General features: G+C 45.6%; 1 protein-coding gene across 3 annotated transcripts in view, besides 1 other annotated feature; it reads left to right on the top strand.

Moving 5' to 3' along the window:
* ADAM19 (ADAM metallopeptidase domain 19) overlaps nt 1–27006 on the top strand; it is a 98472-nt gene that overhangs the window by 42829 nt on the left and 28637 nt on the right. For 2 of the 3 annotated variants that reach the window (NM_033274.5, XM_047417858.1), the window contains exons 5-10: nt 2064–2140; nt 12916–13108; nt 14059–14124; nt 19442–19513; nt 23480–23646; nt 25807–25891. In NM_033274.5, the coding sequence (NP_150377.1) occupies nt 2064–2140; nt 12916–13108; nt 14059–14124; nt 19442–19513; nt 23480–23646; nt 25807–25891 (660 nt within the window). The other variant, XM_047417859.1, reaches the window with a different exon arrangement.
* Nucleotides 8355–8854: an enhancer, noted in NCBI's record as "H3K27ac hESC enhancer chr5:156951101-156951600 (GRCh37/hg19 assembly coordinates)". NCBI's record gives its function as "activates a minimal SCP1, AML or CMV promoter by ChIP-STARR-seq in primed H9 embryonic stem cells {active_cell/tissue: H9 hESC(primed)}" and the evidence as "EXISTENCE:reporter gene assay evidence [ECO:0000049][PMID:30033119]".

The following is a 27006-nucleotide window of genomic DNA, read 5'->3' as shown; positions in this document are numbered from 1 at the left end:
TCCTTTATGTACGATATTCTCACCACCACTCTGGGGTACAGAGGCTAAAGACACTGAAGGTCAGAGAGAGTTGTGGAACTGCGTATGCTTGGATTTAAATATGCCTGGCTATGCCAAAATGTTTGAATTTAATTATTTGTCTATACTCAGGATTAGAGCTGGGAGGGAGGTGGAGCCAGAGAATACAGACACACGGGGTAGCTGATTATTGGGTCACATCCCTGTCTGGTGGGGACAAAGAAGCAACTGCAAGCAGCATGGTCCTAGAGATGGGGGAAAAGAGAAAGCTTCCATGTCTGCAACTGTGTGGTTTGCATCCATCCCTTTTGAGATCTTTCCAGAACTTGGCTCTACCCTGTGGGTTTTATCTTCTCTCTGTTCTGACCAGTGCATCTCTCTTGACTTATTTGGGAGGAAGCCTCTAGGAATGTGTCTCTTGTTGTTACCCCTGATTCGTTGGACACCGTCCTGATTTCACCCCCTTCTGTCTGGTTTAGCACTTTAGCATGCCCAACAGTGCGTATTTGCTTCCTAAATTCTATGGTTACCTGACTTATAAAATGCTCGGCCAGCACTTGAAATGGTTATTTCAAGCCCCTTCTTTTGGTTTGTAATTATATCTGTTTGGATTTCTCATTAATGACTGCCTCTCACAAGACCATAAGCCCCACGAAGGCTGAAGCTGTGACTCCGTTTGCTGGCTATGGTGTCTCCAGGGGCTGGCCCCTGGCCTGGCACAGAGCGGTGGTCACAGCTGTTTGTAGTGATGGAGAAATTCTGACAGCCATGAGACACAGTGGCTGGAGAGCAGCAGCAGACCTCACGGGCACAGGTACCAAATCAAGTACAATCCAGATGTGGAGGGATTTGTGTGAAAGAGCATCTTGAGCTGTGGAAGAGTAGGGAGTGTTTGTTTCCTAGGGCTACTGTAACAAAGCACCATAAACTTAAAGGTTTAAAACAGTAGAATTTTACTTTCTCACAGTCCTGGAGTCTAGAAGTCCAAACTCAAGATGTTGTCGGGGCCATACTCCCTCCAAGCCTCTGGAGAGAATCCTTCCAGGCTCTTCTAGCTTCTGGTGGCTTCTGGCCATCCTTGGTGTTCCTTGGCTTGCAACTTCATCACTCCAGTCTCTGCCCCCATCTTCAAATGGCCTTCTTCTCTTTCTGTGTGTGTGTCTGTGTGTCCTTCCCTCTTGTTAGAAGGACACAAATCATTGGATTTAGGACCTTCTCTAATTCAGCATGACACCATCTTTTTTTTTTTTTTCCTTTTCCTTGAGACAGAATCTCACTCTGTCGCCCAGGCTGGAGTGCAATGGTGCGATCTTGGCTCACCGCAGCCTCCATCTCCTGGACTCAAGCAATTCTCCTGCCTCGGCCTCCCGAGTAGCTGGGATTATAGGTGTGCACCACCACATCCGGCTGATTTTTGTATTTTTAGTAGAGACAGGGTTTCACCATGTTGGCCAGGGCGGTCTGGAACTCCTGACCTCAAGTGATCCATCTGCCTCAGCCTCCCAAAGTGCTGGGATTACAGGTGTGAGCCACCACGCCTGGCCCAGCATGACATCACCTTAATTTAACTACATCTGCAAGACCCTATTTCCAAATAAATCACATTCTGAGGTGGACATGAATTTTAGGGGGATTCTATTCAACTCATTGCAGGGGGTTGCAAAGATAACATTGGTGGGGAGGCAAGTTCTTTCCATGGCATGCTTTTGGCCACAGAAAACACTGATTCCTGAAAGAGCCCTGAACTAGGAAAATTCTGGATTTTCCAATCAGCAGGGAGACCTTGGGCAAATCTCTTTGCTCCTTTGAGCCTCAGCTTTTCATCTGCTTCATGGAGATAATGACATCTTCCCTGCCCCGTCTCCTAGGATTATTATGGGAATCAGATGAAATGGTGGCTTGGAAAGCTCTTTGCAGGTTGTAAGGTGCTATAAGGTTGGGTAGGTATATAATAAGCCATGAGTCATCCATGACCATCCTGAGATATTAACATTGCCATGCTTATCAGTGTTCTTTAGCCTGACCACCTCCTTTCTCCTTGCTAGGATCACTGCTTTTACCACGGCACGGTGAGGGAGACAGAACTGTCCAGCGTCACGCTCAGCACTTGCCGAGGAATTAGGTAAGAGACCCTGAGGCTGCAGGTGGCACCGGGCACTCTCCCCAGGAATGGAAGTTTCAAGATAGACAAGGCTGAGGCAAGGACCTTGGGAAGGAGTCCATTGAGAATGTGTGCAAGCCAGCCCAGAGAGGGGCTGAGCCTGGGAGGATGGGCAAGGGAAAGCCTAGGTAATCCAGAAATCCATTGGGATTTAACTTTCCTGATGAACTTGATGTTTTAAAATATAGGTTTTGTTATTATTTAGGTATGGTAAGGCCAAAAAATCAGGAGATGACTGCCATTGAAAAGATGGTCATACTCACAGAAAAGGGAGGGGCCCGGCTGTGCCATGGGGGGCGGCACGGGGAGGCACTGGGGTTGGTCAGCGGGCAGAGGGAGTCTGGAGAAATGTCAGCAGACGCCCTTCTTGTGGTTTCTGCGGGAAGGAATGGGCGAGGCAGAGAAAGCAGGTTTAGGATTGGCTAGTTTGCATCATTTCAGCAGGCTCTGGGGTTTATGGGCTCTCTGTCCTTAGTTGTCCTATACCTGGTTCTGGGGTGATTAGGGAAGGGGGATAGTGGCCCAGAGGGTGAGAGTGCCCATAAAATAAATGGCTAGGGTATGGACTCTGGATTGGTTGGCTTGCATTTGAAAGGCAAGGTAGCTGGGAAATTGTTGACCATCTCTAGGAATTGGCTAATCCTGGAAGGGGCAGTCCCTCTATGGTCAGTAAGACCCAGATGTCAAAGAAACAGAAGATAAAAAAGAAGACACATGGTTAATATGCTCGGGATGGATGAGTTTGGGCATTTGGTTCCACACCTCCTCAGTTCTTCTCTGGGAGATGTACTTGGAGGTGGTGAAATAGGAAATGGACGGTTAATGAACAGAGAGTAGGAAGTGAAAGGAAAGGCAAGGATAATTTTCAAGACAGAAAATCAACTGAAAAGTTCTGACCAGAATGTGCTTTTGAGAGTGACCCTTCCTTCTCTGAGTGAGACTACCTGGCTTTGAGCTGGTAGCAGTTTACCAGCTGGGTGACCTTGGGTCCCAGTGGTCTCATTTGTAAAATGTGGATAAAAAGAATATATGCCTGCAGTTGTGAGGATTCAGCTTGTGAATAGCTATCTTACCTAGGAACTTGCAGTGGCACACTGTCAGCATGCAGTGAACTCCTAGGACTTTGCTTCTCTAGGTGTGTTCCATGGATGGGCAGCATCAACTTTACCTGGGAGCTTGTTCGAAATGCAGCATCTCAGGTTCCACGCAGACCTACTGGATTTTAATCTGCATTTTACCAAGACTCCCAAGTGATTTGTGTGCCCATTACAGTCTGTACCTGAGAATGTGTGTTCCTTGAGAATATGAAGTATATCTCAAATATCTATTTCTCTCCACCAGCCTGCCTTAATGCCTTGCTTGCAGTAGGATCTACACATGTATGTTGACATAATAAGTCTTATTTATGTAGACCACTTTCAATCTCCCTCCTCTTTTTTTTTTTTTGAAGAAGGATGATGATCTAAAAAACCTGGTATCTCATTGCATATACTAATTGCCTGGGTTTTGATTGTCTGTACTATGTGGTGCCTCTGTGCAGTGATAGACAGTGAGCTACAGTTTCCCAGAATACACAGGCTCAGTGTGAGACACTTCAGCCCAGTGTAAACTGGCTCTATGACAAAAAGGAAAAAGCCCTGATTTGTAGCATCTGCCAATATGCTGACAAAGATAATCCCACCATGATCAATTTCAGGCTACCGATGTGATGTTATTGAAGGCAGAATTGGGAAGATATGCCTTTGATTGGCTCTGGTGAGCTGATAGGAGGTGGCTCCATTGTGTGTTCTTCCTCTCTTGACTGATTGCTTCATTCATTCAATGATTGCATTTTTCATTCACAAATAGAAATTGGGTGTCTTCCTAATGCCCATACCCTACACAGGTGGAGGGAAAACCAGCACTGTAATTTTGGAGCCCTCAGTTTCCTTGTCAATAAAGTGAACATCAGTATTAAGCATGGTAGAGATTATTGCTGTAATTATAGTACTTTTAAACATAAGGGTTTTTCCTCCTCTTACGTCGGTGAAACCATGCTAAGACTTATGCAGGCTCCTATACAAATGGAAGGTTTCTCACACTGCAGGTCCCAAGTGTCTGTTTATAAATTGGGCCATGACTTTGTTTGAATGCTGCATGGTGAGTTGGCTGGAGGAAATCAGGCAGGAAATGGGCTTTGGATGGGAAGCAATAACAGAGTGGCCCCAAATCCCCTCTGCTTAAGTGACCTGATTGAGCCAAGCTAACTGGCCTCGCAGTGGTATTTACAAGCCCAGCCACCGCCACCTGCAGTCTGCAAGTAAACAAAGTTTGTCCCAAGAAGGAGGAAAAAGAACATGCAGGTGTGACCTGCTTCTGTCTGCCTCTTCCTCCATCCCCTCAGTCTGGAGCAGTGGGAACTTGGCTTGGCGTCTTGTAAATCATTCCAGCAGCAGTGCTGAAAGGGAGGGGGATACCGGGTGAGCTGTCCGTGTGTTTCTGTTTTGCATGCTTCCGTCTGGTGAGGTCCACCTGCCTTACTTTCCCAGCCTTCTCACTACACACGCCTTAAGAAACCAAGGCTGTGGGTGGACTGATTTAAGAGCTGGAGACTCATGCCAGATGGTTCCATTTGAACCCTGGAGAAGGAGCAGCTGCAACAGCAGCAACATTCAAACCCATGTCGTCAAAACACTAGGCGCCTCCCAAAGCTCATAAAGCACTGCTGCAGTGAAAAATCTCCATAGTGATTGTTCTTCTTTCCTGGAAACATGCTCCCATGATTGGAGAAATAGGTAGGATTTCTATCAAGTGAGATCTTCAAGCTGATGATACCAAGAGGAATTCAGCTGAGCTTCTAGGTGGTTGCTAGGCCCCCTCTTCTCTTCAAAGCAGTTCTTTAGGTTACTTTAATTGAAGAAGTCATGTATTATCTTAGTAAAAATAAATTCAAAAAGTACAAAAGAGTGTACAATGAAAGATAACATCTCTTTCTCACCCCAGATTTCCAGATTTTCCCCCTTCCTAGAGACAGCCGTTGTTACTAGTTTCTTGTATATCCTTTTAGGAATATTCCTTGTGAAAAAAGAACGTAGATATGTAATTGATATGGTTTGGCTCTGTGTCCCCACCCAAATCTGATCTCGAATTGCAATCCCCATGTTTTGAGGGAGGGTCCTGGTGGGAGGTGATTGAATCATGGGAGCAGTCTCCCCATGCTGTTCTGGTGATAGTGAGGGAGTTCTTACAAGATCTGATGGTTTAAAAGTGTCAGTTTCTGGCCGGGTGCGGTGGCTTACGCCTGTAATCCCAGCACTTTGGGAGGCCGAGGCAGGCAGATCACAAGATCAGGAGATCGAGACCATCCTGGCTAACACGGTGAAACCCCATCTCTACTAGAAATACAAAAAATTAGTCAGGCGTGGTGGTGGGCACCTGTAGTCCCAGCTATTCGGGAGGCTGAGGCAGGAGAATGGCGTGAACCCGGGAGGCGGAGCTTGCAGTGAGCTGAAATCGCATCACTGCACTCCAGCCTGGGTGACAGAGTGAGAGTCTGTCTCAAAAAACAAACAAACAAAAAAAAGTGTCAGTTTCCCTTGTGCTCCCTCTCTCCTGCCATCTTGTGAAGAAGGTGCTTGCTTTCCCTTTGCCATCCACCATGACTGTAAGTTTCCTGAGGCCTCCCAGCCATGCAGAACTGTGAGTCAATTAAACCTCTTTCCTTTATAAATTACCCAGTCTCAAGTAGTTCTTTATAGCAGTGTGAAAACGGACTAATATAGGAATATAATGTCTGTAATCTTATTTGGGCCCCTGGACCCTTTGAGAATTGATTGGAAGCTATGGGTACTTATAAATGACACCAATAGGCCAGGCGCGGTGGCTCACGCCTGTAATTCCAGCACTTTGGGAGGCCGAGGCAGGCAGATCACTTGAGGTCAGGAGTTCGAGACCAACCTGGCCGACATGGCAAAACTCCATTTCCACTAAAAATTTAAAAATTAGCCATGTGTGGTGTTGCATGCCTGTAGTCCCAGCTATTTGGGAGGCTGAGGCAGGAGAACCGTTTGAACCCGGGAGGCAGAGGTTGCAGTGAGCTGAGATCCCACCACTGCACTCCAGCTTGGGCGACAAAGCAAGACCCCATCTCAAAAAAAAAAAAAATGACACCAATAAAAAGATGTGGCATCCCATCTCACTGGGGATGTCAAGTTTCATTCTCCCAAGCCTGTCTCAGATTAAGACATTCTCTAAATATCTATACTGGGTTAAGGTGTCTCTGACTGAGCCTGTGTGTTCTGGGAAACTCTGTGTGTGAGTCTGTAGCTCACTGTCTATCAGCAGGAAGTGTATCTGGTTGGTAAGTTGTTTACTTTTTTAAAAATTTTTTTTTGTTAAAAATTATCATTATATAACTATACAGGTTTAGTGTTAAATGTTCAAATCATGCAGGAATGTGTAAGCTTTAAAAAGTGAAAGTTGTTTATCTTGTCCTACCCTTCCAACCAATCCCATTCTCCATCTGTTATTACTGTTGGAGGTATCCTTAATTACTGTTGGAGGTATCCTTTATTGAAATACATAATTGTGTGTGTGTGTGTGTGTGTGTGTGTGTATATATATATATATGTATATATGAACATATTTAATCCAAATGAGATCACCCTATGCATACAGTTTTGTATTTTTTTTCCAACTTAAGCATTATGTTTTAGGTATACATAGATCTATCTCATTCTTTTAATGGTTGCATAATATCGTTTGTACTAATGTCTGGCACGTTTCATTATATAGAAAGTCTTTCAGAGGTATGCAATAAATCATCCATAGTGGTCTATTTGATGGATCACCCTTATATTACAGCAGCCCTGCCTTCGAAAACATAGGGCTCACTCTCACTGTAATTACACCTTAACCGTGGTCCCTGGACTCAGATTCTGTGAGAGAGGGAGAGAGGGAGAACATGAGATTGAAAATGAATGCAGGAGAATGTGTAGGAAAGTGTGCATGATGGCCTGGAATAAGCTCAAAATGTAAAGTCAAGGGATCCACGTTTAAGATCTAGCTACATACTTCCTGGCTGTGTGGATCTCTGTGTTTTCCTCTCCCCATTAAATTTTTTCCTTGTCTTTGCTGTGGCCAGGCTGGTCCCTCCACAGGCCCCTACTCTATCCAAAAGGTGGCTAAGTCCTGGGAGTGGGGTGGGTGGTCAGTGGGGGTGAGGTCAGGGGCATACCCCAGAGTCATGAACCTGAACATTAGGAGAGCTGGGATTAGCCCCGGCTCTCACATTAACTGGCTAGGTGAGCTTGGGCAAGTTCTTTTTTGGGTGGGCTTTCCTCTTTTCTGTAAAACAAGAGTAGACCAGACCATTAAAAGCTTCCTTCTGTGTTGGAAGTCCTGGGATGCAGAGAGGTTGGGCAGAGTCTCAGGGAGGTGGGAGCCTGGGGCAGAAGGAGGTGGCTCATATACACACAGCCAGCCCTGGAGAAGAAGTGGCAAGTCCTTTCCACCTTTGAATTCCTTGCCTTCCTTCTGCAGAATGGATCATAAATGCTACCTCCGTGTCAGGCATTGCACAGATTAAGCCCTCAGAGGACAGTGTTATTAAGTTGTGATGAATTTAGATTCTGGAGCCAGACACTTCCTGGTTTAAACCCTGCCAAGCTACTTAAGTTCTCAAGTCTCAGTTGTCTCATCCATAAAATGGGAATAACAATATTGACATCACTGGTGGATTTACAATAGGTGAGGAGTGCAAACTCCTTGACAGCAGGGACTTTGCTTTGATCATGCTATTTCCCGAGCTGAGAACAGTTCCTGTCACACACTGGGTTCTCAGTACAGATGTGTAGAATGGCTATCGAATAAAACACTTTGCGCTTTGCTTGATGTATAATACACAATCAATGACCGTTAGCTGTTCTTTTAAAATGCTGCTTTGGTTATTAGTAAATATTGCCTATTCAGTCCATTATCACAGCAACTCTGTGAGATGGGCAGTGTTATTACATCACTTACCACACAGCTAGGAGACAGCACAGCCAGAGTTTGAATCCAGGTGCTATATGGGGGCACCCTGTCCTTGAGAAAGTACATGACCTACAAGCCTTCTCTTCTCTTTTTTGCAGGCTTTGGAGTTCCCTGTAACTCCTTTTGGATGGATATAATTTGCAGAGAAGGGGAGAGGAAAGAAGGGTAGCAGGGTAGTTACTTTTTAGGGCACCTCTGGGTATAGGGATGTAGAATGTGTCCCCTTTGGTTTAGCTCTGAATGGACAAGTCCCCAGGAAGCAGTTGTTGGCCTAGTTCCTTGAAGAATGCATTTGGTGAATCCTTCAGTTATGCAGGGGTTAGGCATGAATTGCTTGGTGCCTGCCTGGCCTGGCCTGCCCGGGTTTTCCTATACAATTTCATTTGTATCCATCTCTTAACGATGAGCAATAGGATGGAGAACAGAATGGAGAATGGCATGTGAGGCTGGCCACCCAGCCTCCTGGGCCCCAGCTCATGCCTTCTGGCTGAGTTCTGCCTTTGCCAGGGCTAACATTCAGCAAATTAGATCAACCAAGGCTCCTAGAAGGATAAACAACTGGTGGTGCTTGGAAGAGGGCAGCTAAAGGAATTAGGGTTGAGGGCGGGGACAGCCCCTGGAACCACATTCTCAGACATTCCCCCAGCAACAAAGCTGCAGTCCACTGACAGTGCTGGGGCTTGTGCCAGCCTCTCCTCCATCCCCAGGCCGTCTGAGAGGATTGCAGTCGTGACATGGGCAAATAACCAGGAACAGCAGTTGGAGGAAGGGAGGGAAGTGGCCACAGAATCCTATTGCTGGAACGACCTTCAGGGTCCTTCTGAGCCTCTGTTTCTCTCAAATTGTAATCTGCCCACTCCCTGAATCAGAATTACTATGGGCCTGGTGAAAAGCAGGTGCCTGCTACAGAGGGTGGTCTGTAGGCCAAAGTTCCTGAGTGTGGCTAGGCAGGGAATTACTCAGGCCTGCAGCTCTGCGTTTTTTAGGTTGGGCCCTGTATTAGTCCATTTGTGTTGCTATAAAGGAATACGTAAGGCTGGGTAATTTATAAAGAAAAGAGGTTTATTTTGGCTTACAGTTCTGCGAGCCATACAAGAAGCATGACACCAGCATCTGCTTCTGGTGAGGGCCTCAGGCTGCTTCCACTCATGGCAGAAGGTGAAGGGGAGCCTGTGTGTGCAGAGATCAAGTGGTGAGAGAGAAAGTGAGAGAGAAAGGGAGGAGGTGCCAGGCTCTTTTTAATAACCAGCTCTTGAGGAAACTCTCATGGGAATTTGCTGAGTAAAAACTCTCTCATTACCACCAGGATGCACCAAGCCATTCATGAGGGATCCACCCCATGACCCTAACACCTCCTACCAGGCCCACCTCCAACAATGGGACCACATTCTACCGTGAGACTTGGTGGGGACAAATAAACCATATCCACAGCAGACCTGGATACCTATGTTTTCAATACACTGTAGAATATTCTAATAGATATCCCTGAGACCTCTGCTCCTAGAGATCTCTGACACTTAGGCTTGGAACTCACTGATGGAGGCAGAAAGCACAGAGGCTAAGGGGATGGGGTCCAGAGTCTGTGGACCTTAAATCTTTGACTTCAGATTACCTAGTCCCCATGCCTGGAGCCCACACTGCCCTTAACCATGAGAGCTTGTTATTTAATGTCTCTGAGCCACAGTTTCTTCATCTATAAAGTGGGACTCATGAGGGTGCCTCCTTATAATGATGATGTGGGAATGAAATAAGAATAACATTTGTAAACACAGTGCCTGGCATCCAGTTAGCTCAATCAATGGCATCTGAAGGTGAAAAGTAGGCTGCATACCTCCTTCATCTTTTCTCTTAGGAAACTGAGGTGAGGCCAATCACCCCTAAGAAGAGAGCTGCTGGCACCATCACTGGAGCCATCTGTAGACTGGTGGTATCTTTCTAATTCACTCTACAGGGTATTTTTTTTTCTTTTGGAGATGGAGTCTTGCTCTGTCGCCCAGGCTGGAGTGCAGTGGTGCGATCTCAGCTCACTGCAACCTCCGCCTCCCAGGTTCAAGCAATTCTCCTGCCTCAGCCTCCTGAGTAGCTGGGATTACAGGCACCCGCCAGTACGCCTGGCTAATTTTTGTATTTTTAGTAGAGACAGGATTTTACCATATTGCCCAGGCTGGTCTCCAACTCCTAAGCTCAGGAAATCCACCCGCCTTGGCCTCCCAAAGTGCTGGGATTACAGGTGTGAGCCACAGCGCCCAGCCTCTACAGGACTATCATGATTGAGGCAGTGGAAGGTCAGGGTAAGGTTGTGGGACTTGGAACTAGAATGCTTCCATTCAAATCCCGACTCCTTTAATACCTAGGTGATAGGCTGATCTGTGCAGCAAATCACCATGGCACATGTTTACCTGTGTAACAAACCTGCCCATCCTGCACATGTACCCTGGAACTTAAAAGTTGATGAAACAAAAACAAAAAACAAATCCCTACTCTTACTCTTACTGTTTGTGTGACTTTGGGTTAATTAACCTTGCTGAGCCTTTGTTTTCCCATTTGTACGTTGGGGACAATATTTGTAAGGATCCTAGGAAGGTGGTGGGAAGAATAAAATGCTCACTTAGCACAGTGCCAAGTCCATAGCAAAGGCTCTATAATCTGCAGCCACTATGAGGATTCTTATTTATTGTGCACCACACTATGGCTTGGTCTCTGTCCTGTTTAGCTCACAGGCTTGTTCAAGTGATGCCAGATCAGTTGCGCCTTGTGAACCTCCATTGGAACTTTCCCTGATTCCTCTATGGAACTTTCCACTCACTGGGTGTAATCTTGGCAACCACAACCTGGTGCACACAGAACCATCAGCTGGTTGGTGGTCAAGCCCTCTGTGTTCCCAAAGTGTGTAGCCGTTAGGGGAAACTGAGGTGATGGGAGAGGCCTTGGTTGGCTGAGATGAAAAGATAACTTGGGAACAGGATGCGTGCAGCAGCTCTCTCCTCTGCCCTTTCCTGGCTGGATTAGGGAGTGGATGCGACCCTTGCTCCTTGCCACGCTCCCACCCCCAGATGTTCAGGGAGTACCTTAGATGTCCGTCAGAGGGGGTGATTGGGTACTGCTGCGTCAGACTGGGTGAGGCAACCAGGAAGTCATCAGGCTTCCTGGATCTGGAATGAGGTCAGCCAGGGATGGGATCCGGGAAAGGCTGCTGCCCATCAGAGCCTGGCGCTGATTTTCCAGAGAGCATCACAGGCTCTTCCCAAAGGGCAAAATCTGGGCAGGAATCCCAAGTGGCGGTTGTGGTGGAGGTGGAAGCTGAGATAAGCTAAGAGAGAGGTCCTGCCAATTTACAGTGGCAAAGACTGGGTTGGAGATGCTGTAGGTTCTGAGCTCTCTGCATGGATGAGAGCCTGCCTGAGGTTTTAGAGCATACAAAATGCTGCTAGAGTCCATGGGGCTTACTCCTGGGCTTCCTCCTCCCACTAAGCCTTGATTACATACCTTTACAATCATGTTTATCTCATTGTATCAAGGTTGGCAGATATCTGCTGCCTGGGCCTTCACTGATCATTAGCAATAGCAATTGATAATAAGTCATGGTCCTCTTTCTTGCTGAGGCTAGAAAAGCCCTCAGAAGCCTTGGTGATGTAACAGTTGAAGCAGCTGCCTCCAGTCCAAGGGGTGATGAAACTTTTTGCTCTCTCTGTTATACATTAGAGTGACTTATTCCAATGTTTACACTCAACGCTTCACAAGGGTAGGCACTTGGTGTGTCTTGTTCGCTATTCCGTCCTCAGCAACTGGCATGATACCTGGCCCGTAGCAGGAGCCCAGTAAATGTTTGTGACTGTCTTCCAGAGGACTGTGAGTTTCTCAAGGACAAGGATTATGTCTAGATTATGTCTAGGACACATGAGTTTATTCTGAGTTCAGTGCTAGTATCTATAATCAAGGGAGGAAAAAAAGTAGTCCCTCATGCTTGGTGGTGGATGTCACTTCACCAAATAACTACCGTGCTGACGTGGGGCAGGTGGGACAAGTAGGCGTGTCATCACTGATGCATCTAGCTCTGGTTTCCAAGCACAAAGACCCTTGTCTTTCCACTTAATCATCCAGTAGTCTTGATAAGTTATCATTGCCGTGTTAGGGATGAGGAAACTGACGCTTGGAGAGATTTAAGATGCTTGTTGAAGAGCATGTGACAATTGAATGTTGGAGCTAAATCCAGAACCTCGGTCACCTCACTTGCAGGCCACTGTTCTTTCTCTGGCCACTGTACTGCTTTTCCTGAGTCTCTAAAGTTTTGACCCATGATTTGTCATATGCCATGTTTTGGTTTGGGAGGCTTTTTGGAATCCTGGACCTACCATCCTTCATAAGTTTTAAGTGTCACAGGTACAGCCTTCTTAGAACTTTTTGAGATTTCCCAGTCCAGAGACTTTTAACCTGGAGTCTCACGATGAGCTTGGTGGTGGTGGTTGGGTGGGGTGGGGGTTGGGGTGGAGGTCCAAGTGCCCTGAGCTCATGCACCACTTTTTATGTATAAGTGCATTCCTCTAGAGAGGAAGTGTGAGCTTGCATCAGAGTCTCACGAAGGGGTACATGGCCCCATAATTAGGTTAAGAACCAATGATCAAAACCCACTATGTCATTTTGCATATGGAGAAACTAAGACCTACACAAGGGACTTTTTCAGAACCATAATCTTTGACCAGAGATTCTATTTCTCCTCTCAACAGAGGACTGATTACGGTGAGCAGCAACCTCAGCTACGTCATCGAGCCCCTCCCTGACAGCAAGGGCCAACACCTTATTTACAGATCTGAACATCTCAAGCCGCCCCCGGGAAACTGTGGGTTCGAGCACTCCAAGCCCACCACCAGGGACTGGGCTCTTCAGTTTACACAACAGACCAAGAAGCGACCTCGCAGGGTGAGTTTTGAGGCTCTCAGTGCAGAAATCAACCTGGGGACAGGCTTGTCCCCTCTGAGGTTGCTTACTTTGAATCCAGGAGTATTTCTAAATTGAAGGTGATGCCTAAGAAAAAGGAAATAGTGTTTTTCTTTTATTCTGTCATTGTTGAGTGTGAAATACCCTCATCATAGAATAACTGCTTTTGGGGGAAAACACTACTACCTTTAAAACACTCAGATGCTGACTTCAGAAAGCTTAAAAAGTGAAAAGAAGGCTGGGCGCCATGGCTCATGCCTATAATCCCAGCACTTTGGGAGGCTAAAGCAGGCAGATTGCTTGAGGCCAGGAGTTTGAGTCCAGCCTGGGCAACATGGCGAAACCCCATCTCTACTAAAAGTACAAAAATTAGCTGGGCATGATGGCTGGGTGCCTGTAGTCCCAACTACTTTGGGAGGCTGGGGCACGGGAATCACTTGAACCCGGAAGCCTGGGTGACAGAGCGAGACCCTGCCTCAGAAAAATAAATAAAAATTAAAAAGTGGGGAAAAAAAGTATGCTTTCCCTATTGGAGTAGACACTACACCATATGCACACAGTCCTCATATTGATTCATACTGAAAATGGCATGGTGTTTCGAGGTTTCGAGGTTCTGTGGGAACGTGGTGGTTAGCACACTCCCTCTCATATGCTGGCCTCTGTCCTGCCTGTGCTCATCAGCTCATCTCAGTATTTTCTGAGAATAAAGGACTGAATCCAGGGTCCCAGAGCAGCCTCCAGCAATAACCAAATGGCAGTGGAAGGTGTTATATGAGTGATGGCCACCACAGCCAAGAACATCTCTAGTGCCGAATGACAAAATCATTACGGAGGTAGCTGCTGCTTATCCAGCAGCTCTGTTTCTTAGCAGTTTTTTAAAAATGAGGCCAAGTCCACTATTTCTACAGCGCTGATCTGTTTCTCTTTCTTAGATGAAAAGGGAAGATTTAAACTCCATGAAGTATGTGGAGCTTTACCTCGTGGCTGATTATTTAGAGGTAAGGGGGAGGCAATGGGTCTTGCAGAAAAACTGCTCTCTTGATAGCTTCCATTCCAGGCTCCAGACTGCTTTGGGGAAATGTTGCCCATTCATCTTTCTCCAGTTCATCTATGATTTTGACCTTAAATCTCACCAAAGGCTGGGCGCGGCGGCTCACGCCTGTAATCCCAGCACTTTGGGTGGGCAAGGCGGGTGGATCACCTGAGGTCAGGAGTTTGAGACCAGCCTGGCCAACATGGTGAAACCCCATCTCTACTAAAAATACAAAATTAGCTGGGCATGGTGGCACATGCCTGTAATCCCAGCTACTTGGGAGGCTGTGGCAGTAGCATTTCCTGAACCTGGGAGGCGGAGGTTGCAGTGAGCTGAGATCATGCCACTGCACTCCAGCCTGAGCAACAAGAGCGAAACTCCGTCTCAAAGAAAAAAAATCTGACCAAAGGCTCATTTTGCCATTTTAAACATAGTTGGGGGGAACTCCCCCAACTCCCCCCGCCCCTTCCTCCCCCACCTCCACACACAGCTAAGCCTCTCCTGGCTTGTTACATCAGTCACATAGAAAATCAAGACAGTTGTCTGATTAACATTTCTTGTACTGGGTCTGAAGACCTTTAGATTCTGGTGTTTATTCTGAGGAACCCGGAATTGTCTATGGAAATTCTAAAACTTTTTTTTTTGCAAAGATGATAAATATATTCCCAGTCATCCGACTGAAAACTGTATTCTTGCCCATGTGTGGGTCCATTTTTATAATCATGTTGATGCCAAATGATGACCTAAAGCCATGGTCCCCAAAATGTGGTCCCCAGAGCACCAGCATCAGCAGCACCCTTGTGTAAGATGCAAATTCTCGGGCCCTGCCCCCGACCTCCTGAATCCCAGACTGTCAGGGTGGGGTCCAGAAATCCATGTTTTAACAAGACCTCTGGGCGATTGGGTTGCACAGTCAAGTTTGAGAACCACTGACCTAAAGGCATAGCAGTTCAGCCTTTAACTCCATGTTCCTCAAATCAGACAGGTTCTAAGAATTTGAGGAACCCTCACCTGGCTCATCATGTATTTCATTTATTCATCAGTGATCTCTTGATTTTCTATTATGTGCCAAGCACCTGGATATATAGATCTCAAGAAGACAGACCCTCCCCAGGCATCGCAGAGTTTGCAGTAACAGCACACAAACCTGTAGGTCCAAAGTGTGATAAGCACTAAGATGGACCATTAGGAGGGATGAAAGTGCAGATAATGGGGGATTCAACATGGTTTTGGGAATTAGGGAAAGCTTCCCTGACATTGAAGCAGACACCTAAAGAGTGAGTTTAGGCCCCAGAGCCCATATTTGCCTAAATTAGCCAGCTGTTACCTCCAATTCTCACTTTGTTTAGTGACTCCATCATATAAGTACTAAGTGCATCTTCTGTGCATTGGATGTCATTATGAGCTGAGCGCTCGCTGTGTTCGAGCAGGGCAGACACTGGCCTTGGTCTCTCCTGAGGATAGAGCCCATCACAACTCCAGTCTGTCTGTATCCCATCCACATAGTTTAGCTACCATCTTCCCAAAGAGCTCATTCTAAGGCAGCTGTACCTAGTCACATTTCCAAAGCATGTGTCCTGGCAGCAGGGCCTGGTGGTGGGGAGAGCACTAGGCTGCAGGCCAGAAGGTCTTTGAGTGTTAGTCACTGGATGTTAGCAGCAGAAGGAGGTGGCCCTTGAAGCTGTCTTAAAAGACAAGGAGGAGTTAACTGGGCAGAGGAGTGGAGGTGAAGGGCATTCCGGGCCGAGGGAACATTGTGCTCTGCTTTGAAAAGCGTTTAGATTTATTTTAACTGATGTTGATATTGGTTTTTCCAACAGCTGTTTGTGTGTGTGTGTGTGTGTGTGTGTGTTCTATGTTTTCTGTTTCCTCTCCAAAGACTAGTGTGTCTATAGGATGGGGGAATAGTGTGGGGAGCAAAATCCAAAGCTGGTTTAAAAGCCAGCTGAGGCTCCATAGTCGTGGGAGGAGATAACTGACTCTGGCCTGCCCTGCCTGACTGCCCGTAGTGGGAGGACTGGTGGAAGAAAACTGAGCTCCTCTGACTCTGGGACATTTTTCCACTTAAGTTCTGCATCTGTGATCATCTGATACAATGGTCTTGAGTCATTTTTTTCAGCTACAGAATCCTTTGGTTACATGGAAGTTCCTGGGAACCCCAGTAGTTAAGCATATAGAGCCCAGCTGCTCTGTTTAAAGGTGGGGTGTTTCTCCCCTTTGGCCTTGCATTGTTCTCAGAGGAATCTCTGTGCAGGCTTTCAAACCCACTGGGTGTGAATCTCCAGCAGCTGGAGAAGTGGGAAGCATGGTGGGAGGCAGGGATTAGGCATCTTCTATCTCCTGACCTCCAGAGTCACAGCACACCTCCAGAGAAAAAGTGTCCACTCAAGGTGCCTCCAGGACTCTGGTGTCAGCTAGAGCCATCTTTCTCTTACAAAGGAGAGTGTCTCAGCAACAGCCCTGGGTTCCCAACAGGGCTGTGATTCATGCAGCTGTGGTGGATAAGGGAACGTGCTCATTTCTCAGTCCTGGACACCCCTCCGCTGAAGGCTTTGAATGATTCATTTGAGGGACTGGGGTGGGGGTGTGTAACAGGCCAGGCTGGGTTCACAGGCTCACGAATCATCCCCTCTCCACCTGTCTCCATCCTCTGCAGACAGAAATATATTCTTGACAATTAATTAATTAATCTGAGAGGATGGGAAGGCAGGAAAGGGGAGGGCTGCTTTACCATGATTTATAACCTGCTGCAGAGACAGAGCCTTGGGGCTCTGAATGCAGAGCAGAAAGTGGAGACACAGATAGGGAGAGCAAGACCCTGCTGCTGCCTAGAGAGAGAGTTGTCAGCAGTAAAAATGAGCAGGCAGCTCCTCGCTCCCTGGGCCTAGGTGGGAGCTTCTAGGGTGGTTCTCAGTTTATTCATTCCCCAGGTGGAACGGAATCCAGGTGGGGATAAAGAGTAAGGTGGGCTGTTGTAGGAGTAGACAGGATAACTGTAAACACAGGCCTGTAAAGGACTTCCATGATGCTGGCACAGTGCAGAGTGGCTGGGAAAGGATGGTGCTGCATGTGGTACTCACTGTGTCACCCTAGAAAATGTAAGTTTGAGACAGTCCTTTCTTTACATCAGGGGTCTGCAAACTATACCCCATGGTCACATCCAGCCTATCCTGTGTTTTTGCAAACAAAATTTTACTGGAACACAGCCAGGCCCATTGGTTTCTGTATTATCCAGGCTTCTGTATTATATATACAGGTGTCTGTATTATTCTGAGCCACCACTGCACAGTTGAAGAGTTGTAGCAGAGACTATGGGGCCGCAAAGCCTAATCCGGCCTTTGCAGAAAAGATTTGCTGACTCCTGCTTCAGAATACTCTGGACAACAGAATTCGCTCCTTAAATTATGGTGGTCTCATTGGGCAGTTCTTTGAAGAGAAGATTAATATTTTTTTGAAAGACAATGAAATCTGGCCCTGATGTTCTAATAAATATTACTAAATGAATGGAAATGCTGCAACGCTGTCTGTGCCGAGAGACCAATTTAGAAACAGGAGGCCTCTATAATGAGAAACTCCTGGATTAACACCTTGGAAAGGTCTAAGTTACAGTGTCACACTGAATCTAACTCTAGAAAGCAGTGGTAACAGATTCTCTTCTGGTGAGTGGCAGTTTTAAGGAAGCCTAAGAATGTCCACAAGCTGTGGTGAAAGGGAAATGGTGGATTTCTTCCCTGTATCAGGGCTGGTACACACCTCTGGCCAAACAAATACCCCAGGTTGTTTTACTTGGCTGTTCTTGTTCTTTCTTGCTTAGATATTCTCATGGGATGGGGTGGAGGAAGGACGTGAAGATTTTGAATCAAAATAACATGTATAGTGGGTACCTAAGATAAATTAGAGAGGACCCAGATTCTGTGTAACAATGGCAGTGTACAGGACATGCCCATCATTTTTAAATGTAATTTGCAGTTGTAGCAGGTTTTCTCTTTACACTGTGAAGCTTTCCTTCATCATTGCAGCTCAGAGAGATCTATCTTTTTGAGGCAGGAATGGTAAATAGGAGGTATTCATACTAAAATGTCCTCTTTCTGGTACCCATGGCAGATATTTCTAATGGAACACAGCTTTCTTTCCTGTGCTTGGTTAGAAATGTCTGATTACGGCCAGGCGCAGTGGCTCACGCCTGTAATCCCAGCACTTTGGGAGGCCAAGGCAGATGGATCACTTGAGGTCAGGAGTTTGAGACAAGCCTGACCAACATGGTGAAACCCCATCATTACTAAAAATACAAAAATTAGCTGGCCATGGTGGCGAGCACCTGTAATCCCAGCTACTCAGGAGGCTGAGGCAGGAGAATCGCTTGAACCCGGGAGGCGGAGGTTGTAAGCCGAGATCACGCCACTGCACTCCAGCCTGGGCAACAAGAGCGAGACTCTGTCTCAAAAAAAAAAAAAAAAGAAAGAAATGTGATTGAATCGATGCAGTCTCATAATTCTTCTCATTCTTCTCACTGTAGAAGGCACTGCCAGTGGATCTGAGTGGTGTGCAAGATGAAGCCTATTTGCCAGTGTCTTATGGTCCTCCTCGTTGGCACTCATGTCATTCACATGACCTCCCACTGTGGTTATTTCTGTGCACGTTTTCCCGGCAGGTTTTCTCAACCATTTCAGTTCTATACTCCTTAAGTACAGGGTCTGTCACTCAGCATCTGCCACAGTTATTTCTGGCCCTCTCTGTTTTAATTGAAGCTCCTCTAGGCTAGAACCAAGATCTCACACTTCTTTGTGTCCTACATAGTGCTAAGCACAATGCCTTGCCCATAGCAGGCATTCAGCAGCAATTCGATGATTGTTGATTGACCACATGTAGGGAAGCCTCGTGAGATCTGTGTAATGGTGGCTTCATGTTGGGGTGATGACCACGGTGAGGATTGGATCAGTCCTCCTAAGCCCCAGTGGGAGTTTGCCAGAGGCCATGTAATTCGAAGGACAGGAGAATAAGATGTGCTTCAAGGGTTAGAGGAAGGCAATTCTACTCCGTGCATAATTATTGCATGCCTACTGTGTGTGCTGCGCTGAGCTAGTAGCTGTGGATATGAAGATGGATGTTGACAGGTCCTACCCTCCAAAGCTCTTACTGTGGTGGGGAAGACAATTGCATAAAAATGATGGCTCATAGAAGACAGAAGAAAATAAGAGCAAATTCAAAGACAAGTAATGGGGCGCAGGAAGCATCCTGTGAGAGGTTCTGGGATCTCACATGGTTCTGCTTGTCCCATTTAGTTTCAGAAGAATCGACGAGACCAGGACGCCACCAAACACAAGCTCATAGAGATCGCCAACTATGTTGATAAGGTGAGACCAGGTGTGTACTTTGTGGGAAAGGTGCCAGGTGCCAGCACTTCCAAGGGCACTGGAGCTGCCTTCTGCTGGATTGGCTGCCCCAGCCATCTTCTGAAAGGGAATGAGCAGTGCCATAGAGGCCCAGGGCGGTCATGACAGAGCCCTGAACTACGTACCCTTAGGCAAGTAACTCATTTTCTTTGTGTTGCATTTTTTTTTCTTTTGTTCTGTTTTCAGCTTATAAATAGAAAGGCTGTCGTAAATCAATGTGTGGTTTTTTTTTGTTATTTTTATTTTCCTGGTGGAATTTTAAAAAATGAAATCTTATGCCAATATCTACTATAAAAGTTAGATGAAAACAGACTGCTCTAAGTGGGAGCTGGGGTGAGGACCCAGAACACTGTCCTTCTGACCCCTTCCTCTTACCCCTGCAGTGGCTCCCGAGCAGCTTGGGGCATGGAAGAGCCCAGTTTAAGAATCCTTTAAGGTTCTTTAAGGTTCCTTCCAGATACAAAGCCCAGGGATTCTCTGACTTAGGAGGGAATTGAGGTAGGTCAGGGTGGGAAAGACACACAGCCTTAAAAGTTGAGAAGTGGGCTGTTTGAGAAGTGGGTTGCTTGAGAAGCGGATTGTCTGAGAAGTGGGTTGCTTGGGGCTAATCTATAAAGTCTCCATCTGTAAAGTTATCCTAAAATTATGTCTTGTCTCTTAGGAAGGATGTGCAGTGGTTAACTTTCCTAGGTCAGGACCTTTTACAAGATGCTCTTCGGAAATACCTACATTTTTGAATTTTACTAGAACGGGCTGGTCTGGGACTTGGAAGTACATTGTGTATATGAAAGAAGATATTTGTTATAGTACAAAATGCAGAATAGGTAACCTAGAATGACAGTAGCCTCTTGGTAGGCTAGTAGTATATAGTTTTTAAAAGTAGTTTTTCATGTGTTTGGGATCAAAAGTCTCTTTGAGAATCTGGTAACGTTTATTGCACAATTTTAGAATACTCATAACATTGATGAAGCTTAACTTTGGGCCTGCTAGGGATTCATGAATTCCAGGTCTAAAGGGAAAATCATTTTTTCCTAAACACTAGAGAATATAGGAGATCACTTAAAATATGTTTTAGGGATTAATAGGCAAATGTATTAGTTCTGAAGTCATCAGATGGCAGTTTCCATGCCCATGGTTTTTTTCTGCCCTAGATGGCTCTGGAAACAAAGGTCAGTGGTCAGTGACAGGTGAAAGTCAAACACTGGCATTTCCTGGAAGGACAGACTCTAGGGACACAGTCCAGTCCTCCCTCTAGCTCCTGACTCACTCAAGAATAACATTTAAATAATCCTACAACCCAAACATTTGACATCTGGGAAAACAAGGGAAGCTTGTTTCCCTGGGGAGAATATGGGAGGCTGACTCTGCTTTCCCCCATGTGACATCTATTGTTTGGAGACCTGGCAGGTTCGGACTTGGCTGGGTATCCCCTCTGTGGGGTATGTGATGGAACCAAGGGCGCTGGTGACAAGTGAAGGGAGAAGAGAGGCACCAGCAAGCCCCAGTCCTTACTGAAAGCCCTAAGCCTGGGTGGCCCATGCATCCTGTGCAGCCGTCTTGGCTCTCTCCTCGCGGCTGGTGTTAGTCACTCCTGGCGGGTAAGGGAAGCCACGCCCACTTCTCTGGAGCTTGCTGACCTAGCTACTTGAACTGAACTATTGTTGAACTAAAACTGGAATGAATTGGACTCGTGCTGAGTCATGAACCCAATCCAAAATGTTTTTCTGTAACTGTGAAAAAAAGCCAAGTTTACTTCCTTCAAAAGCTCCCTAGTAAAGCAAATTCAAATTGGAATCTGAACCTTTTATTTTCTGTAACGATTGAACTGGCACAAAACAGAAAAATCAAAATTTCTGTTGAAATAAACTGATATTTCACTGAATCTGGAGCCCATCTTGACCAGCGTTTCTTGGAGCGAGTGGATTATCTGGATGTGTAGGTACTGCAGCACTGAAGTAGTAAAGGGTCACAAATAGGCTCTGAGGTTGTAATTTGGGCCTTCATCCTGGCTCCACCATCTTCTTGCTGAGACTTTGGGCAAGTTCCTTAACTTCTCTAAGCCTCAGTGCCTAGTACGTAAAAAGTGGTGGAAAAATGTTGGTGCTATGATTATTCTTTTCAGCTGGGGCAGTACCTACCAATTTTGGATAAAGATGGTATCTCCTGCTCATTATGTCCTCTCCATACATGGGGCTTTTTATTAAGTCACTGGCTCAGTATTTGTAGGGTGGACCCATCAAAGAACCCGTTGTATCCACACCTTCCAGTGGTTTAGCTTTAAAGAAAACCCTCCTCCTGCTTATATTTGTATGAGGTGAAAAATGCCAGATCATAAAGATTAGATGTAGCTCTAGCCTCGAGGAGGTCGAGTCAGATCTTGGGTATAGAATTTCAGGATCTCTGGTTTGGACAAAACCCTGAAGATTACCAAGAACGTCTGTAGTCTATTGCTTGCAACCTGCTTATTCCATCCTTGACAAAACCTGAGACTATCCAGGGATGGGGAAGAAAATTTGAAGAGTAAGCATATCTGTGCACTTTTATGTCATTTATACTCATTTACTTCCAAAATGAGTGGGAGACATTTTATAATAAAATATCCATGTATTAATATAATTTGGTATATCCATACGAAAGAATATTATTCAGCAATAAAGAGAAATCATAAACGAATACACTCTAACACATGGATACATCTCAAAAACATTATGGTAAGTGAGAGAAGCCAGACACACAAAACCACATATTGTAAAACAAATGTCCAGAAAAGGCAGAATAGAAACAAAGTAGATGCACGGTTGCCTGGGCTGAGGGTGAGAATGGGAAATGACTATCAATAGACATGAGGGATCTCACCGATGTGATGAAAATATTCTAACACTGGATGATGGCGATGGCTTTATTTTATTTTTATTTTTTTTTGAGACGGAGTTTCGCCCGTGGCCCAGGCTGGAGTGCAATGGCACAATCTTGGCTCACCGCAACCCCTGCCTCCCGGGTTCAAGTGATTCTCCTGCCTCAGCCTCCTGAGTAGCTGGGATTACAGGCATGCGCCACCACGCCCAGCTAATTTTGTATTTTTAGTAGAGATGGGGTTTCTCCATGTTGGTCAGGCTGGTCTCGAACTCCCGACCTCATGTGATCCATCCACCTTAGCCTCCCAGAGTGCTGGGATTACAGGTGTGAGCCACCACGCTTGGCTGGTGATGGCTTTAAAACTTGGTAAATTTACCAAAAAGCATTGAGCTGTACACTTAAAATAGATGGGTATTATGGTATGCAAATTATACCTCAATGAAGTGGCTTTAAAAAATCTATATACAAGAGAACTTTTTAGATACCCATAAGAAAGATAAGGCTCACATAAGGAATTGGGAGAAAAAAATTGTACCAGACAGCCTGGCCAAGGGCACTGATTACAGAAGACAGCAAAGCTCAGCTCTGAGCTATCTCATGACCAGCTTTGTTTGAAAGCCTTCTTCCTATTTTAAAATGAAATTTATGTTCCTGTCTGTTTTACCTATTGACCTAAGCCCTACTTGAACATCATGCAGAACAACTTTTTCCACATGATAGACCTATTCATATCTGAAAGCAATTTTATGTCCTATCTCAGTCATCTCTAAACAAAGTCACTGCAGTTCTGCCACCAGAATGTCCTGCTCTCTCTCAGGATCTCATTTTCCCTTTCTAAAAAATGTCAGTAACACCAGTTGCCTCCTTCTGTTGGAGCCATGGGCAGAAGAGAAATCTGGTATCTGTGCTCTGAGTTCTTAGGCTAGGAAGGAGCTTTTTTTTTAAATTTATTTTTATTTTTTAGTTTTAGTTTTTTTCTTTTTAATCTCAAGCTCCACCAGAATGAAAGGAAGGGGCTTTTAAATCCCAGGTGGTATTGACAGATACTGTGGTTTTTCTGTGTCCTTTCAGTTTTACCGATCCTTGAACATCCGGATTGCTCTCGTGGGCTTGGAAGTGTGGACCCACGGGAACATGTGTGAAGTTTCAGAGAATCCATATTCTACCCTCTGGTCCTTTCTCAGTTGGAGGCGCAAGCTGCTTGCCCAGAAGTACCATGACAACGCCCAATTAATCACGTAAATAGCCTTTTTCCATATGTTGTGTTGTCCTTGGCTGCAAAGCCTCTGCCCACCCAGCACATGCTCAGAGTTTGCCCCATGGCGAGTGTTGGTTGTACAAGGCCATTCTGACTCCCTGGTCCAGAGAATCAGGCATTTCCTAAACATGCGCTCTGTACCCAGCATACCCCAGAAAATGTTTAAAAGCCTGAGTCACATTATTCCTAAGAAATGTTTACAGTCTAATGGGAAAATTAGACTTACACATATTCCATTGAGCATCTGAAATAATTGTGTATGTATTTGGGAAGGGACTGACTGTTGGTCAGGTCTTAGACTTTCTAAGAGACTCATCTCAATCTTCCTGGCGCTTTGTTCTAATACATGAGCTGATCTCCCAACACAGGCACAGGAGAGCGGGCTCCTTGTGTTGTCCTTCACTTGGTTCCCAAGGGGCACAAGGCTGAGTGCTTGAGAGAGTCCAAGTGTTAGACAGTGCAGGAACTGAGGGTTTGGTTGGAGGGAGACATTGAGGAGGGATTGTGCTAGATTTTCATCAGCCTGGGAGAGACAGTGATGGGGGTCACATGTGACAGTGCCCCAGGGTGATTATTTGGTATTTATTAGTGTTGACTTCTGAAGGTATTTTGAGGCAGTTACAACAAAAGGCATATAGATAATAAAACCATTTGTCTTCTTTTCTTTTTTTTTTTTCTTTTTTGAGACAGTTTCCGTCTGTCACCTAGGCTGGAGTGCAGTAGCGTGATCTCGGCTCACTGCAACCTCTGCCTCCTGGGCTCAAGCAATTCTAGTGCCTCAGCCTCCCAAGTAGCAGGCATGCACCACCATGCCCGGCCAATTTTTGTATTTTTAATAGAGACAGGATTTTGCCATGTTGGCCAAGCTGGTCTTGAACTCCTGGCCTCAAGTGATCCGCCCGCCTCGGCCTCCCAAAATGCTGGGATTATAGGCGTGAGCCACACATGCCTGGCCTTCAAACCATTTTTCTTCTGTTCCCTAAATATAGCTGAGTTAATAATCATTTAAACTTTGGCTTATCCTTTTAAAGAAACTGGGAAAAATAACTGTCCCCAAAACCTGGGCTGTAAATAGTTACTACATTTGCCTAGGAAGAGTCTTTGGCTATTAGAACTTTTGGCCTGAACTTTGGAACATGTAGAAAATAACTAGTAGGACTTCATATCAATTTGCATAGATTTTGCATATTTCTTTGCAGATTGTTTCTCTGAAGATAAGTCTGCCTGTAATTCAGCAAACATTTATTGTATACCCACTATGTGTGAGATTCTGTGCTAGGTTCTACGATCCCAAAATAGTTAAGATAGTCTTGCTGTCAAAGATATCATGGTCTAGATGAGAAGACAAACGTGGAGATAAGTACCACATAATGAATTTCCATATAGGTTCTTTAAATACATTACATGTTTGTGGCATGCACAGAAACACTGGTAGTTTTTTTTTTCTTCTCCTCTACCCTGGATGTATATAACTGAAAGAGGGATGTATTCAACTGGGGAAAATGAAGCTTGCTGCTGGCAGATTAGGATCCCATTGCAAAACAAAGGCAGAAACAGCTCATTCTTGCATCCAACTGCACTTTGTGAGGCTCCTGATGGGGCACAGCTGTTTCCTTGGCCCCTGAGTATGTGGGAATGAAGCATCATCGGCCCCACAGCTGCTGCCCCGATGCCCCCACCCCTACCCTGTGGGACTCACACCACAGAGCCAGGGGTAAGGTATTGGATCCCGGCAGCTGGTGGAAGTGGGCATGATTCACTTCAGCATCAGAATCTGTGCCACCCTTCCATCAACCTCTCCTTCTGACCTTTTCCTGTGCAGCAGGAATGCAATGCAGCTTTGCAAACCCTGCCCATTTCCTTCCAAGGAATCAGCTATGGGTATATTGTGGGAGATAAACGACCTTTCTCTCTCTCTTTGTGTTCCTCTGGAGTCATGAGGGAGTAGGTGAGAGGAAGTGAGAGGTGTGGTGAGCTGGAAGTTGTCCAGTTGGCCTGGTTACAAGGGCCTCTCCCCTTGGGAATGACCTGGGAAAGTCAGCGGGTCCAGGGAACCCCGTGATGGCCACTTACTCCCAGGCACATTGGAACAGCCCTCTTAGTCTCGTCCCCGGTCACCGTCTCTCCTTGCCTCCTGCAGGGGCATGTCCTTCCACGGCACCACCATCGGCCTGGCCCCCCTCATGGCCATGTGCTCTGTGTACCAGTCTGGAGGAGTCAACATGGTGAGTCTCAGCCCGTGTGTGTGCGCTGCAGAAGGCGCTGAGCTGCCTTTCAAGACCAGAGGTCATCTTTTGAATAATAAGTTGATATTTATTATTGTAGCAGAAAAAGCTTTGACATCAGGAAGGGCAATTGTTTAAAATGAAGTCATTAAGTTCTAAGAGATGGAGGTACTGAAGGGTGAATTTTCATTTATTATAGTTCATTCCGTATCTTCAAGCTCAGGAACCCTGAAGAGATTACATGCATACATCACTAGATCTCATATGTTCCAAACCAGGGGCTGGAAAATAGTAAGAGAGTAGAGGTTAAAAGTATTTTTATTTCAGGTCGTGTGCTGTTATATATGTCATTAAGAAACAAGAACCTGTCTCAAAGTCATGGTTAGGAAATTACTGCCTTCTTTTGAAATTCACTCTGACTTCATGAGACTATTTGTTTTGACTCTTCATTTCTAACCTGTGAAGTGCATATCAAGGAAGACTTGTCTTCATCTATTTGTCTGTCCCTCTATCCATTCTGTATTTATCGACAAAGTAGCATAATGGCCAAAACCACAGGCTCTAGGGTCTGAGCCTGTTGGGTTCAAAGAACAGCTGTGTGATTTTGGGTGAGTTAATGAGTGTTCTCAGCTGTAAAAAACGCATAGTTTTACAGTTGATAATCATAGGATAGGAATGGGAATTAAATGAAATAATGCAGGAAACACACTTCCATGTTTAGTAAATCTCTTTCTGCTGCTTCTTTCCTGCTGGGTTTTTTTCCTCTTGATTTCTTTAGCTTTTGCATCATCAGACAGTACACCAAGTGCTGTGCCTGGAGTGTATCTGTCTTGTGTGGTTTTCTCAGGAAACACTAAGCCAAGTACACCCTATGTTTGAATCAAGGTCGTGTTTTCTATGTTGATTTCCTTATGTCTGGAGAAATATATATGTTCAGAAGAAGAATGGGGAAAAATCTTCCTCTTTTATTTATTCTGAAAGCATTTATTGGTCTGGAAGTTCATCCATAGGTCAGTTGTGGTCTGCAACCTTTGAGAACTCAGGAAACATGGACTTTTAAACATTTGATTTCCTCCTAGTGACAGCAGATTCAGCCTTGCTGTCAGAGGCACATA

The sequence above is a fragment of the Homo sapiens genome, chromosome 5 (genome assembly GCF_000001405.40).
Source record: "Homo sapiens chromosome 5, GRCh38.p14 Primary Assembly".
NCBI lineage: Eukaryota > Metazoa > Chordata > Mammalia > Primates > Hominidae > Homo > Homo sapiens.
The sequence above is the reverse complement of the archived record's forward strand: the minus strand, read 5'-3'. Positions and strand labels throughout refer to the sequence as shown.